The 16,208-nt window shown below is 44.9% G+C and overlaps 1 long non-coding RNA gene across 5 annotated transcripts; it reads left to right on the top strand.

Annotated features, from left to right (window-relative positions):
* The first annotated feature begins 3,225 nt into the window (after positions 1 to 3,225).
* Positions 3,226 to 16,047, top strand: LINC02887 (long intergenic non-protein coding RNA 2887). Of its 5 annotated transcripts, XR_007065568.1 has the most exons (6): positions 3,226 to 3,408; positions 10,258 to 10,380; positions 12,717 to 12,913; positions 13,135 to 13,191; positions 13,758 to 13,822; positions 16,009 to 16,047. It is a non-coding gene; the product is annotated as a long intergenic non-protein coding RNA 2887 (long non-coding RNA). The 5 variants fall into 5 exon arrangements; XR_007065567.1 differs by lacking the exon at positions 13,135 to 13,191; XR_001752726.2 differs by lacking the exon at positions 16,009 to 16,047 and having other exon boundaries at positions 13,758 to 13,825.
* Positions 16,048 to 16,208: the final 161 nt, after the last annotated feature.

The raw sequence follows: 16,208 nt of genomic DNA, 5'->3' as shown, positions 1-16,208 counted from the left end.
CTGTTTAATCTTTTATTAAATTATAAAAATGATAAATACTTTTAAATAAGTGAAAAATGTCCTTCACTCTTTAGACCCATAATCTTATCTCAGGAAATAATTGCAGTTGAGAAAATGGGCCATATCCTTCAAGATACGTACATGGTGATTGAACATCACTTCATATTTTCATATTTCGTGGACATTTGTGCCAATACCTATTGATCTATCTTAATCCTTTTCATGGTTGCATAATATTTTATTATATGGATGTATCACAATTTACCAGTACCAGTCAACTGCTGGAGGCATTTAGGCTTCTTCTAATATTTGCTTTGAGCTCTTTATATAATTAAAAATTAACCCCCTCAGCCAGGTGTGGCAGCTCACACCTGTAATCCCAGCATTTTGGAAGGCTGAGGTGAGAGAACTGCCTGAGTGTAGGAGATCACCACCAACCTGGTCAACATAGTGACACTTTGTCTCTACTAAAAATTAAAAAAAAAAAATGAGCTACACGTTGCAGTGCACACCTGTAGTCCGAGCTACTGGGGAGGCTAAGACTGGAGGATCACTTGAGTCTAGAAGGTTGAGGCTGCAGTAAGCTATGATCACACCATTGCACTTTAGCTTTGCTAAGAGCAAGACTGCATTTCTTAAACAAAATAAAAATTAGATGGGAATATTGCTCAAGCCCTGGAGGTTGAGGCTGCAGTTAACTGTGATTGCACCACTGCAGTCCAGCCTAGGTGATAGAGCAAGACCCTTTCTCTAAAAATAAAATAAAATAAAAATTAACCTTCTATCATATTTCCCAGTAACACCTTCCCTCCTACATTTCTCCTAGAAGCCCTTAAATTTTGTTTTTCACATATCGTTTAAAACTTTTAAGTGCTGATGTCTGTGTCATCCCTCTTTTTTTTTTTTTAAATGTCTTTTTGTCACTTCTAGCTGGACCTACCATGAAAGACTTCTGAATCCAGGAAGAGAAACTGACTGGGCAACATGTTATTCAAGTACAAAAAGACTTGGACTGTAACTCAAAAATGATCAAATAATAGTGCATGCATCAAGTGCAATCGGAAGCTCTTCTGGAGAGGGAGAGAAGCTTCCAGTTAAGGTGACATTGAAGCCAAGTCCTGTAAGATAAGGAAGAGTTGTATGAGAGTGGGGAGGGAAGGGGGAGGTGGAGGGATGGGGATTGGGCTGGGATGGGATGGAGTGAGCTGCCCAGGCAGGGAAACCAGCACTATACAGACCTGAACAATGAAGATGGCACATTTTGTTCAGGGAATGGTGAATTAAGTGTGGCAGAAATGCTTTGTAGAGACAGTAATTTGCTTGTATGGAATTTTGCCCAAGAGACCTCATTACAGTTTCTAATTTTTTGATGTTATCATGCATCACTGCCCTTGTCAGATAGTATCATGATCACAATAACATCAAGCATAATATTTCATTGATTCTCACAAAAACAGGTGGGTGCCACAGTTATCCCCATTATATGCACAAAATGATGAAGACTTGGGGTTAATGAGCGATTTGCCCAAGCTCACCTGAATATTAGGACTGAGTCAAATGTTAGTCTGGTCTGACTTTAATGCTTGCCTTGTTCATGAGCACCATGCATTGCCTCTCCTATTAAGTTAAGCAGGTAGACAGGTGAGAGAAGAGCCAGTGTGATATCGGGGGAAATTCACCCCTGATATTTCATGTAGGTTCTTTTCTATTTTCCCTGAGTGTCAGCCAGTCTGAGAAATAAAGGGAAAGAGTACAAAAGAGAGAAATTTTAAAGCTGGATGTCCAGGGGAGACATCACACGTCGGCAGGTTCCGTGATGCCCCCCAAGCCGCAAAACCAACAAGTTTTTATTAGTGATTTTCAAAAGGTGAGGGAGTGTACGAATAGGGTGTGGGTCACAGAGATCACATGCTTCACAAGGTAATAAAATATCACAAGGCAAATGGAGGCAGGGCAAGATCACAGGACCACAGGACCGGGGCGAAATTAAAATTGCTAACGAAGTTTCGGGCGCGCATTGTCATTGATAACATCTTATCAGGAGAAAGGGTTTGAGAGCAGACAACCCATCTGACCAACATTTATTAGGCGGGAATTTCCTTGTCCTGATAAGGCTGGGAGCGCCACGCGAACCCAGGGCTTATTTCATCCCTTATCTATGACTGTAAAAGACAGCCGTCCCCAAAGCGGCCATTTCAGAGGCCTCCCCTTAGGGATGCATTCTCTTTCTCAGGGATGTTCTTTGCTGAGAAAAAGAATTCAGCAATACATCTCCTATTTGCTTTTGAAAGAAGAGAAATATGGCTCTGTTCAACCCGGCCCACTGGCAGCCAGAGTTTAAGGTTATCTCCCTTGTTCCCTGAAATTGCTGTTATCCTGTTCTTTTTTCAAGGTGCCCAGGTTTCATATTGTTTAAACAACTTGTGCAGTTAACGCAATTATCACAGGGTCCTGCGGGGACATTCATCCTCAGCTTATGAAGATGACCGGATTAAGAGATTAAAGACAGGCATAGAAAATCACAAGGGTATTGATTGGGGAAGTGATAAGTGTCCATGAAATCTTCACAATTTATGTTCAGAGATTGCAGTAATGACAGGCCTAAGAAATTATAGAAGTATTAATTTGGGGAACTAATAAATGTCCATGAAATCTTCACAATTTATGTTCTTCTGCTGTGGCTTCAGCCAGTCCCTCTGTTTGGGGTCCCTGACTTCCTGCAACACGTTTCTCTCTACTCACAGACTTCTGACCAACTGTGTGTGCAGAGTTTCTACACCAGTTCTCCAACTCTCTGGATACCAACCGCGTATCCCACAATTCCATTCTGACACTACCTAGAGTTAGCACAGAACCCACAGGTTAGGGGCTCAGTCCCACAAGACCACCCTCACTTCAGATGCCAGTTGCAAGTCCTAGGTTGTCACCTGTATTTTGACCAACCAGTTAGAAATCAGGGTTTCCCATGACCCTCTTGTTGAGTTTAATTATTTACTAGAACAACTCACAGAACTTAGAAAAACAAGTTTTTTTTCTTTTTTTTTTAAGAGACAGGGCCTCGCTCTGTTGTCCAAGCTGGTGTGCAGTGGTGCAATCATAGCTCATTGAAGCCTCAACGTCCAGGGCTCAAGTGATTCTCCTGCTTCAGCCTCTCAAGTAGCTGGAATTACAGGGTTCCCACCACCACATTTGGCTAATTTCTTTTATTTTTTGTATAGATGGGGTCTTCTTATGTTGCCCAGGTTGGTCTCAAATTCCTAGGCTCAAGTGATTCCGCCCACCTCTGCCTCCCAAAGTGCTGGGATTACGGGCATGAGCCAGCGCATCTGGCCACCTTATTTTCTATTACTGGCTCAATGTAATGGCTCCATCTCAGGAACAGCCAATGAAAGAGATGCACAGGACAAGGTAAGTGGGGAGGGGCACAGAGCTTCCATGCCCTCTGTTGGGCACACTACCCTCCCAGGACCTCCTTGTGTTTAGCAACACAGAAGCTCTCCAAACCCTGCTGTTTGGGTGTTTATGGAGGCATGATTGATAAAATCACTGGCCATTGGTAGTTAAGTCAATCTCCAGTTCCTTTTGCCTCCTGGAGTTCAGCAGGTGAGGCTGAAAGTTCCAAGCCTCAAAAAATGTTGTTGGGGCCAGGTGCGGTGGCTCACTCCTGTAATCCTAGCAGTTTGGAAGGCTGAGGCACATGGACCACTTGAGGTCAAGAGTTTGAGACCAGCCTGACCAACATGGTGAAACCCCGTTTCTACTAAAAATAACAACAGTTAGCTAGGCGTTGTGGCACATCCCTATAATTTCAGCTACTCGGGAGGCCGAGGCAGGAGAATTGCTTGAACCCGGGAGGTGGAGGTTGTAGTGAGCTGAGATTGTGCCATTGCACTCCAGCCTGGGCTACAAGAGCCAAACTCCGTTTTAAAAAAAAAATGTGGTTGCTTTCTCTGGCAGCTAGCCCTCCTCCTGAAGCAGTCTCGGAGCTTGCAGCCACCCTGTTAGCTCAACAGCATCCCACATGCATTCTTACCATGCTGCAGATCTGAAAGACCTTAGAGGCCCTTGTGTCAGGAACCTGGGACTAAGACTAAATATCAAAACAGAAAATGCTCCTATTACCTCTGTCACGAAGGGCTTTATAAGAGCTTTGGAAGCTCTATGCCAGGAACCAGGGGCAGAGACCAAATGTATATTTCTTTTCTTATATCGGAGACAGAGTCTCACTCTGCCACTGAGGCTGGAGTGCAGTGATGTGATCATAGCTCACTTCAGCCTTGACCTCCTAGGCTAAAGCAATCCTCCCACCTTAGCCTCTCCAGTAGCTGGAACTACAGGCATGCATCACCATGTCCAGCTGATTTTAATTTTGTAAAGGCAGGATCTTCCTATTTTCCCCAGGCTGATCTCTAACTCTTGGCCTCAAGCAATCCTTCCTCTTTGGCCTCCCAAAATGTTGGGATTACAGATGGGAGCCCCCATACCCACCAATCACAAGGATCTTTATAAGAGAATGAGGTAGGAGAGTCAGAATTAGAGAAAGTGATGTGGTAATGGAAGAAGAGGTCAGAGAGGGAGATTTGAAGATGCTGCACTTCTGGCCTTGAATATGGAGTCACGAGGTAAGTCAAGGAATGGAGGTGGCTTCTAGAAGCTGGAAAAGGCAAAGGAGCACATTCTGTCTAGAGCCTCCCCCAGAAGGAATGCAGCCTCTCTGACACCTTGACTTTAGCCTTGATAGACCTAGTTGGGCTTCTGGCCCCCAGAACTGTAAGATGGTAGATTTGTGGTGTTTGATGCCACTAAATGTAGGGTACTTTGTTGTAGCAACAACAAAAAATGAACATGAAGCTGGGACCTCATGTTACAGTTGCTCACGCCTGTAATCCCAGAACTTTAGGAGGCTGAGGTGGGAGGATCGCTTAAGCCCAGGAGCTTAAGACCAGCCTGGGCAACATAATGAGACCTCATGTCTAAAAAAAAATTTTTTTAAAGGCCAGGCGCAGTGGCTCACGCCTGTAATCCCAGCACTTTGGGAGGCCGAGGAGGGTGGATCACGAGGTCAGAAGTTCAAGACCAGCCTAGCCAAGATGGTGAAACCCCATCTCTACTAAAAATACAAACATTAGCCAGGTGTGGTGGTGGGTGCCTGTAATCCCAGCTACTTGGGAGGCAGAGAATCACTTGAACCCAAAAGGCAGACATTGCAGTGAGCCAAGATCGCACCCTTACACTTCAGCCTGGGCGACCAAGACTCCGTCTCAAAAAAAAAAAAAAAAAAAAAGCCATGTGTTGTGGCATGCAGCTGTAGTCTCAGTTCCTAGGGTGGCTGAGGCGGGAGGATTGTTTAAGCCTGGGAGGTTGAAGTTGCTGTGAGCTGTGATTGCACCAGTGTACTCCAGCCTGGGCAATAAAGCAAGACCTTGTTTCAAAAAGAAAGAAATAAATGAGCATGGTGGGAATGGGGACAGATGGCAGTGTTAAGTAGAGTGGTCAGGGTTGGCCTCATAAGTGAATATTGAGCAAAAGTTTGAAGCAGGTGATGGAGCTGGCCAAGGTGCTGAGGGAAGAGCATTGTAGGCTGAGTCAACAGGATAAAGGCATTAGGAGGAAACTCTCTGGTGTGTCTGAGGCTCTGGAAGGAGGCCAGTGGAGCAAAGAGATAGAGGGAGCGAAGTCAGCGAGGAGGCCAGGGAGTTGCTGGGCTGGGATCGGTACAGATCGTGTAAGCCCTGGGACGCTATTGCTGGGGCTTTGGCTTTTACTCTGACTAAAATGGGAACCACCAAGGGCTTCTGAGCAGAGAGGCGACATGATCCGTCTCCTGATTTAAAAGCACGACCTGGCTGCCGAGTTGAGAAAGACTATGGGAAGATTTGGGTGGAAGCATGGGGGCCAAGCTGTGGCAACATCCCGGTGGGAGATGATAGTGATCCTGACGGGGTTCATGGTGGTGGTGAGAGATGGTTAGAGCCTGGATACATGTTGAAGTCAGTCAGTAGGATTTCCTGACAGACTGGATGTGAGCTGTGAGAGAAGGCAGTGGTCAAGGTTGAGTTTGATTCTGATTGAATTATTAAGTAATTTTAAAAAACACTACTGCTTTTCCCAATCCTACCAAGTAAAGGATGCTAGATAAAAGAAATCCCAAGTCAGGCCAGGTACAGTGGCTCACACCTATAGTTCCAACAGTTTGAGAGGCAGAGATGGGAGTATGTTTTAAGGCCATGAGTTTGAGAGCAGCCTGGGCAACACAGCAAGACCTCCTCTCTACAAAAATAAAAAAAATAAATTTAATAAAATAAAATAAATATAGCCAGGCATGATGGTATGTACCTATGGCCCCAGTTACTCATGTGGCTGAGATGGGCAGATCTCTTGATTCTAGGAGTTTGAGGCCAGCTTGGGCAACATAGCAAGTCTTCTCTCTCTACAAAAATGAAAAAAATGCCTGACATGGTGGTACTTGCCTGTATTCCCAGGTATGGGGGCAGCTGAGGCAGGAGCATCTCTTGAGCCCAGTTGGTCAAGGTTGCAGTGAGCTATGATTATACCACTGCACTCCATCCTGGGTGACAGAGTGGGACCCTGTCTCAAAATACAAATACAAATGAAATCTCAAGTCAGACCAGTCCCTTCTAGGCTATGTAGGCCTTGTAACCATACAGTTGCATGATCGGGTTTGTGTGGCTGTGGATGAGGAGACCCCTGTCCAATTGTTGGCTATGTAATCAGTTTATTTTTCAATATAGTAATCAAATATATTTCATCATACTTGATGGTCTCAGATATGTGTGGATTTTGGAATTCCCCTTGGAACAGGTTGTAACATCTTATTGGCTCCATAATTCCATAATTTTTTTAATCTGATCAGTTTTTAATAAGATCGGAATTTATATTAGACTACTTAATCGGTTTTGTTAATGAGAAAATGAAATTGTGTTGTTTGCATTTTATCCAAGATGGGTGTCATATTGGGTAAATCTCATCAATACTTGAACAAATGCAAAATTAGAGCTTCTTTATCATGAAACACGATGTAATTCTTGAAGAAGATGCCATTTCTTTTTTTTCTTTTTTTTTTTAAGATAAGAGTCTTTCTCTTGTCACCCAGGCTGGAGTGCAATGGTGCGATTTTGGCTCACTGCAACCTTCACCTTCTGGGTTCAAGCAATTCTCCTGCCTCAGCCTCCCGAGTAGCTGGGATTACAGGTGCCCGCCACCATACCCAGCTAATTTTTGTATTTTTAGTAGAGATGGGATTTCACCATGTTGGCCAGGCTCCTCTGGAGCTCCTGACCTCAGGCAATCTGCCTGCCTCAGCCTCCCAAAATTCAAGGAGTACAGATGTGAACAACCACGCCCGGCCTCCATTTCTTTTTTGTAGTCTTTAATAAACAGCTGCTATCATTGCAGACTTGCTGTTTAGGCACTTAGGAATTTTTCACTAGAAGGCATGTAAATAAAGACCATGGGCAATTGTAATGAATTTCGCCTTCATTCTTTGACTACATGACTGTCCCCAGAGCTGTAACTTTATTGAATTTTTTAGAAGCCATTTAGCTAGCAACTGAGCCTAACCAGCCACTCACCGTCATTATTCAGTGCTCTTTTATTATTGTCTATTTCTCCTCCAACTTGGCTACACTCACAAAGTGATAAAAACTTGCATTTGTTTTCTTTCCTTTTCAGAGACAGCGTCTTGCTCTGTTGCTTAGGCTACAGTACAGTGACATGATCATGGTTCACTGTAGCCTCAAACTCCTGGGCTCAAGTGGTTCTCTCACTTCAGTCTCCCAAGTAGCTGGGACTACAGACATGTGCCACCATGTCCAGGTAATTTTTTATCATAGAGACGGGATCTTGCCGTGTTGCTCCGACTGGGCTCAAAACTCCTGACCTCAAGTGATCCTCCTGCCTCAGCCTCCCAAAGTGCTGGGATTACAGGCAGGCATGACCACCTGTGCCCAGCCCCCTATTATTATTATTTTAAATAATAGCTTTATTAAAATATTCACATACCATTCACTTTATTTATTGAAATCTGCAATTCAGTAGGTTTTAGAATATTCACAGAGCTGTGCATCGATCACCACAGTCACTTTTAGAACCTTTCATTACTCTATAGAGAAATCCATACCCCTTAGCCACTACCTCCTACTCTCCCCACCTACCTTTGCCCCCAGCCTTAGGCAACCATTGATTAATTTTTTTGTCACTATAGATTTGCCTAATCTGGACAAATAGAATTGTACAATATGTGATCTTTTGTGGCTTTTTTTCCCTCTTACCACAGTGTTTTCAAAGTTCCTTTATGTCATAGTGTGTATCAATATTTCATTCCTTCTATGGCAGTATTCCATGGTAGAGACACACTGCATTTTGTTTATCTGTTCATCAGTTGGTGGATATTTGGGTTGTTTCCATGTATTCCATGTATTGGTCATTATGAATAATGCTGCTATGAAGATTGTTGTACAAGTTTTTGTGTGGACATATATTTTTATTTTTCTGGGATATATGCCTAGGAGTGAAATTGTTGCATTATAGGATGACTGTACATTTAGCCTTTTGAGAAACTGCCAGACTGTTTTCTAACGTGGCTATACCAGTTGGGTGCAATGGCTCACACCTGTAATCCCAGCTACTCAGGAGGCTCAGCTAGGAGGATGGCTTGAGCCCGTGAATTCAAGACCAGCCTGGGCAAGATAGTGAAACCCCGTCTTGATTTTTTAAAAATCCAATTAAAATGACAAGAAAAGAAATACCCAAACAAAATGGTTACACAATTTTATGTTCCCACCAGTAATGTATGTGGGTTCCAATTCCTCCACATCTTCACTGACATTTTTTTTTCTAGATAGGGGCTTGCTCTGTCTCTCAGGCCGCAGTGCAATGATGCCATCACAGTTCACTGCAGCCGTGACCTCCCAGGCACAAGTGATTCTCTCATCTCAGCCTCCTGGGTAGCTGAAAATTACAGGTGTACGCCACCATGCCTGGCTAATTTTTAGATTTTTCTGTAGTGGTGGGATTTTACCATGTTGCCCAGGCTGGTCTCATACTCCTGGCCTCAAGTGATCTGCCCACCTCAGCCTCCCTAAGTTCTGGAATTACAGGCTGCCACCATGCCCGGCCTTCACCAACATTTGCCATTATCTGTTTTTTTTTTCTTCCTTTATACCTTAAAGCAGTATAAGAACAAGTGTCTTCAATTATAGGAAACAGTATAATCCCAGGGCTTTGGGAGGCTAAGACAGGAAGATGTCTTGATGCCAGGAGTTTTTTTTGTTGTTGTTGTTTTTGTTTTTGTTATTGTTGTTGTTGTTTTTGACAGTCTCGCTCTGTCACCCAGGGTGGAGTGCAGTGATGGGGTCCACTGCAACCTCCACCTCCCAGGTTCAAGTGATTCTCCTGCCTCAGCCTCCCGAGTAGGTGAGACTACAGGTACACGCCACTACTGCCCAGCTAATTTTTGTATTTTTGATAGAGTCAGAGTTTCACCGTGTTGGCCAGGCTGGTCTCGAACTCCAGACTTCAGGTGATTTGCCTGCCTTAGCTTCCCAAAGTGCTGCGATTACAAGCATGAGCCACCATGCCCAGCCTGATGCCAGGAGTTTTAGACTAGCCTGGGCAACCTAGCAAGACCTTGTCTCTACAGAATATTTAAAAATTAGCCAAATGTGGTGGTGCCTGTGTATAGTCTCTCTCCCTCTCTCTTTTTTTTTTCTAACTTTTTGTGACATGGTCTGGCTCTGTCACCCAGGCTGAAGTGCAGTGGTGTGATCATGGCTCACTGCAGCCTGAAACTCCTGGGATCAAGTGATCAATCCTCCCACCTCATCCTACCAAGTAGTAGGGACCACAGGTGTATGCCACCCAGGTCTTGCTATGTTGTCCAGGCTGGTCTTGAGCTCCTGGCCTCAAGCAATCCTCTCACCTTGGCCCCCCACAGTGCAAGGATTACAGGTATGAGCCACCATGCCTGGCCCCTACCCTGCCTACTGAGAACCAAAGGAAGGATCCAAATTCTCCTTAGCTCAACTCGAGCCATTTCCTGATTGCTTCATCAGCGAGGAGCTGGTTATTGGGCTGTCCAGGCCTCCCAAGCAGCACAGAAATGAGGTGAGGGAGTTTTCCTGTTGCTCCACTCTGTAAGGAGTTGGAGGGTGATGTTTACTCGTTTGCAGAGAGAGATGCCTTGTAGGCACCTCAGGATGGAGAGGGCCCTGATTCCAATGTCCTTTTTTTCTTCAGAAACAGGACCTTGCCCTGTCACTAGGATGGAGTTCAGTGGTCCTATCATGGCTCATTATAGCCTCAAACTCCCAGGCTCAAGCAATCCTACCATGTCAGCCTTCCCAGTAGCTGGGACTACAGGTAAGCATCGTGACACTCAGTGAATTTTGTTTTTATTTTGTTGTAGAGATGGGACCTCAGTATGTTGCCATGGCTGACCTTGAACTCCTGCACTCAAGGGATTTTCCTACCCTGGCCTCCCAAAGTATTGGTATTACAGGCATGAGCCATTGTGCCCACCGTCTCTGGTTCTTAACCTTCTGCCTCCCTCTTCCAGTTTTAAAGAATGCTTGTAATTACATGGGCTCTCCTAGATACTCCAGGATAATCTTGTTTTAAGGACAGCTGATGAGCAGCATTAATTTTATCTGCACTCTTAATTCCCCCTTCCTATGTAATTGTGCTGTGTAACATAGGACATGAGCAATTGGTGGCGGTGGGGGTTATTACTTTGGCCACCACAGTAACTATTTTATGCCAGGTACTCAGCTAAGCACTGGTGAATGAAGCATGAATAACACACACTCCCTAATCTCCATCCATTCATGGGAGGAGCACTTCACCTGCCATGCTCCTGAGAATCTCGGGAGTCATAGAAGTCTTCTATGAGGAGGTGATGCCAAAGCGGACAAGTGACAGAGGAGTCAAAGCTAGCTAGGAAGAGAGTAGAGGTTTAAGGGGAAGCATATTATAAGCAGAGGATATTACCCACTTCAGAGACTCCCAGAGGAGAAAGAGTGTGCGTTCAAGGGGCAGATGAGGCTCAGTTGGACTCCATAGCAGATGAAATGGAGAGGGGCAAGCAGTGAGGCTGCCTTGCAAGGCAGGGCAGAGCAGGGGCTGTTAAGGAGTTTGGACTTAATCCCTGAGGCAAGGAGAAGTGATGTAAATGGGGGAGTAACATGATGAGATTCATAGATTAGAGACATGGCTCAGGCTGCTGTAGAGAAGGCACCAGGAAGAGCAGATGGCTCAATGTGTGTGCAGAAGACCTCTCCCTGAGTTTAGGGAGAGGTTTTTAAAACAGAAGAAGTTTGAGTAATTTAAATGATGATGGGAAGGAGCTAAAAGTGGGGGATAGGTTAAAGATACAGGAAAGTGGGAGGAAGAACTGACAAGTGAGGTTCCAGAGAGGGCAGGAGAAGAGGAGATTCCCATAGGGGGATTAACACTTTCTTTTCTTTTTTCTTTCTAAGACAGGGTCTCACTCTGTCGCCCAGGCTGGAGTGCAGTGGCACAATCTTGGCTCACTGTAGTGTAGACTTCCCAGGCTCAAGGGATTTCTCCCACCCCAGACTCCCAAGTAGCTGGAACTACGAGTGTGCACCACCACCACACCTGGCTAATGTCTCTTTTTTTTGGTAGACACAGAGTCTCACTATTTAGCACTGATTGGTCTCCAACTCCTGGCCTCAAGCGATCCTCCTGCCTAGGCTTCCCAAATTGCTGGGATTACAGGCATGAGCCACAATGCCTGGCCTCTGCTAGTTCCGTATTCTCTAGAGTTGTCTTTACTTTGTGCTAGTGTGTCCCTCATTGTGCTGATCCTCTGTAAAAATTAATACCTTTTTTTTTTTTTTTTGAGATGGAGTTTCACTCTTGTTGCCCAGGCTGGAGTGCAATGGTGCTATCTCGGCTCAGCGCAACCTCCACCTTCTGGGTTCAAGCAATTCTCCTGCCTCAGCCTCCCGAGTAGTTGGGATTACAGGCATGTGCCACCATGCCCAGCTAATTTTGTATTTTTAGTAGAGATGGGGTTTCTCTGTGCTGGTCAGGCTGGTCTCGAACTCCTGACCTCAGGTGATCTGTCTGCCTTGGCCTCCCAAAGTGCTGGGATTACAGGCATGAGCCATTTTGCCTGGCCAAAATTAATACTTTTTATATTAAATTTACATATATATATATATATATATATATATATATATATATATATATATATATACGTTTTTTCTTTTTGATACCGGGTCTCACACTGTCACCCAGGCTGGAGTACAGTGGCACAACCTCTGCTCACTGCAGCCTCCACCTGCCAGGCTCAAGCAATTCTCCTGCCTCAGCCTCCCGAGTAGCTGGGATTACAGGTAAGTGCCACCACACCCAGCTGATTTTTGTGTTTTTTGTAGAGACGAGGTTTCGCCATGTTTCCCAGACTGTTCTCAAACTCCTGAGCTCAAAGCAGTCCACCCACCTTGGCCTCCCAGAGTTCTGGGGTTACAGGTGTGAGCCATCTTGCTCATTCTAGTTTAAACTTTTGAGTGGTTTGTGTCTCCTGATTGGACTCCTACAAATACAGAATTGATGCTAGGAAGGGTACCAGGAGATAGACGCACACAGATGGGATTTGGGAATAGGTTTGGTTATCCAAGGAGCAGTGCTGAGCTCCTTGCAATGGGATATGGGATGCTGGTGATTTCCAGGAAGTGAGCTCACAATGACTCAAGCTGCCACATACTGTTGATTGTGAAATGCCAGTTGAAGCATATGTCCTGCGAGCTTAGGGGTGCTACAAGTTGACCACTGCAGCAGTAAAGATGACTCTGAAGAATGGCGTGGGATGGTTCCTTTCAAATGCACTTGAGCAGCGGTCTCCAACCACAGGGCCACAGAGCTGGAGGTGAGCAGCAGGCGAGTGAAGGGAAACTTCATCTGTATTTCTAGCCCCTCCCATCACTTGCATGACCACCTGAGCTCCATGTCCTGTCAGATCAGCAGCAGCATTAGATTGTCATAGGAGCACAAACTCTGTTGTGAAGTGTGCATGCGAGGGATCTAGGTTGTGTACTCCTTATGAGAATCTAATGCCTGATATTCTGTTACTGTCTCCCATCACCCCAGGTGGACAGTCTAGTTGCAGGAAAACAAGCTCAGAGATCCCACTGAGTCTACGTTATAGTGAGTTGTAGAATCATTTCATTATATATTACTATGTAGTAATAATAGAAATAAAGTGCACAATATATGTAATGCACTTGAATCATCCTGAAATTATTCCCTCATTCCCAGTCTGTGGAAAAATTGTCTTCCACACATTCACTCTGTTTTTTGGTAGAGGCAGGGTCTTAATATATTGCCCAGTCTGATTTCAAACTCCTGGCCTCAAGTAATATACCTCTCTCAGCCTCCCAAAGTGCTGAGATTACAGGCATAAGCCACCACCCTCAACCAAGACTTTCTTAAACCAAATAAAAATTAAGTGAGATTACTTGAGCCCAGGTGGTCAAGGCTGCAGTGAGCCTGATTGCACCACTGCACTCCAGCCTAGGTGACAGAATGAGACTGTCTCAAAAAATAAAATAAAATACAAATTAACCCTTTATGACATTCCCAGTAACTTCCTAAGTGCTCCCCACAAGTCTTTGAATTCTGTTTAATTTTCACATGACATTTAAGACATTTAAGAACTTATGTCTGTCTGTGTCATCCCTTTATGTCAAAAGATGTCTTTTTGTCACTTCCAGCTGGATCTACCATGAAAGACTTGTGAATCCAGGAAGAGAGACTGACTGGGCAACATGTTATTCAGGTACAAAAAGATTTGGACTGTAACTTAAAAGTGATCAAATTATGTTTCCCATGCATCAGGTGCAATGGGAAGCTCTTCTGGAGAGTGAGAGAAGCTTCCAGTTAAGGTGACATTGAAGCCAAGTCCTGAAAGATGAGGAAGAGTTGTATGAGAGTGGGGAGGGAAGGGGGAGGTGGAGGGATGGGGAATGGGCCGGGATGGGATAGCGCAAACTGCCCGGGAAGGGACACCAGCACTGTACAGACCTGAACAACGAAGATGGCATATTCTGTTCAGGGAATGGTGAATTAAGTGTGGCAGGAATGCTTTGTAGACACAGTAATTTGCTTGTATGGAATTTTGCCTGAGAGACCTCATTGCAGTTTCTGATTTTTTGATGTCTTCATCCATCACTGTCCTTGTCAAATAGTTTGGAACAGGTATAATGATCACAATAACCCCAAGCATAATATTTCGTTAATTCTCACAGAATCACATGTAGGTGCCACAGTTATCCCCATTTTATGAATGGAGTGATGAAAACCTTAGGAATAATGAATGATTTGCGCAGGCTCACCTGGATATTAAGACTGAGTCAAATGTTGGGTCTGGTCTGACTTTAATGTTTGCTTTGTTCATGAGCACCACATATTGCCTCTCCTATGCAGTTAAGCAGGTAGGTGACAGAAAAGCCCATGTTTGTCTCTACTCACACACTTCCGACTGAATGTATGTATGGAGTTTCTACACCAGATTCTTCAGTGCTCTGGATATTAACTGGGTATCCCATGACTTTATTCTGACACTACCTGGAGTTAGCACAGACCCCACAAGTTAGGGGCTCAGTCCCACGAGGCCATCCTCACTTCAGATGACAATGGCAAGTCCTAAGTTGTCACCATACTTTTGACCAACCTGTTACCAATCGGGGGTTCCCGTAACTGTCTTCTTGGGTTTAATAATTTGCTAGAACAGTTTACGGAACTCAGAAAAACAGTTTATTTTCTTTTTTTCTGAGAGAGAGGGTCTTATTTTGTTGCCCAGGCTGGTGTGCAATGGTGCAGTCATAGCTCATTGCAGCCTTGATTGTCTGGGTTCCAGTGGTTCTCCCACCTCAGCCTCCCTAGTAGCTGAGACTACATGCCTGCACCACCACATCTGGCTAGTTTCTTTTATTTTTTGTATAGATGGGGTCTTGTTGTGTTGGCCAGGCTGGCCACAAATTCCTGGTCTCAAGTGATCCTCCCACCTCAGCCTCTGAAAGTGCTGGGATTACAGATGTGAGCCACCACATCTGGCCAGTTCATTTCCTATTACTGGTTCATTGTGAAGGATACATCTCAGAAACAGTCAATGAAAGAGACGTGCATGCTGGATGCAGTGGCTCATGCCTGTAATCTCAGCACTTTGGGAGGCCAAGGTGGGAGGATCGCTTAAACTCAGGAGTTTGAGACCAGCCTGGGCAACATGGTGAAAACTTGTCTCTATAAAAAATTAAAAAATAATAATAATAACTGGTGTGGTGTTGTGCACCTAGAGTTCCAACTACTAGGGAAGCTGAGATGAGAGGATACCTTGAGCTGGGGACTGGGGAGGCTTAGGTTACAGTAAGCTGAGATTGTGCCACTGCACTCCAGCTTGGACAACAGAGCCTGATCCTGTCTCAAAAAAAAGAAAGATACCCAGGGCAAGTTAAGTTCGGAGGGGCACAGAGCTCCCATGCCCTCTGTTGAACATGCGACCCTCCCAGCATCTCCTGTGTCCAGCAACCCTGAAAGCTCTGCAAACCCCTTTCAGGGTGTTTATGGAGGCTTTATTATGCAAGCATGATTGATAAAACCTTTGGCTGTTGGTGATTAAGTCAGTCTCCAGCCCCTCTTCCCCCTGGAGTTCAGTGCATGAGGCTGAAAGTTCCAAGCCTCTTACCATGTGGTTGCATGGTAATCAGCCCTCCTCTTGAAGAAATTTAGGAGCTTGCAGTCACCCAGTCATCTCAACAACATCCCCAAATGCATTCTTACCATGCTGGAGATCCCAAAGTTCTTAGAGGCTCTTGTGTTAGAAACCTGGGACCAAGACCAAATATTAAAACAAAAGATGCTCCTGTCACATCTATCACTGAGGTCTTTGTAAGAGCTTTAGAAGCTCTGTGCCAGGAACCAGGGACAGAGATTAAATATATATTTCTTTTCTTTTTTTTGAGACAGAATCTCCCTGTGCCATCCAGGCTGGAGTGCAGTGATGTGATCATAGCTCACTATAGCTTTGGCCTTCTGAGATCAAGCAATCCTCCCATCTCAACCTCCCAAGTAGCTAGGACTACACATGCATGTCACCCATGCCCAGATCATTTTTGTAGAGTCAGAGTTTCACCGTGGTGGCCAGGTTGGCCATGTTGGCCAGATGG

Source organism: Homo sapiens, chromosome 17 (genome assembly GCF_000001405.40).
Source record: "Homo sapiens chromosome 17, GRCh38.p14 Primary Assembly".
NCBI lineage: Eukaryota > Metazoa > Chordata > Mammalia > Primates > Hominidae > Homo > Homo sapiens.
This window is presented reverse-complemented; position numbering and strand designations above follow the sequence as displayed.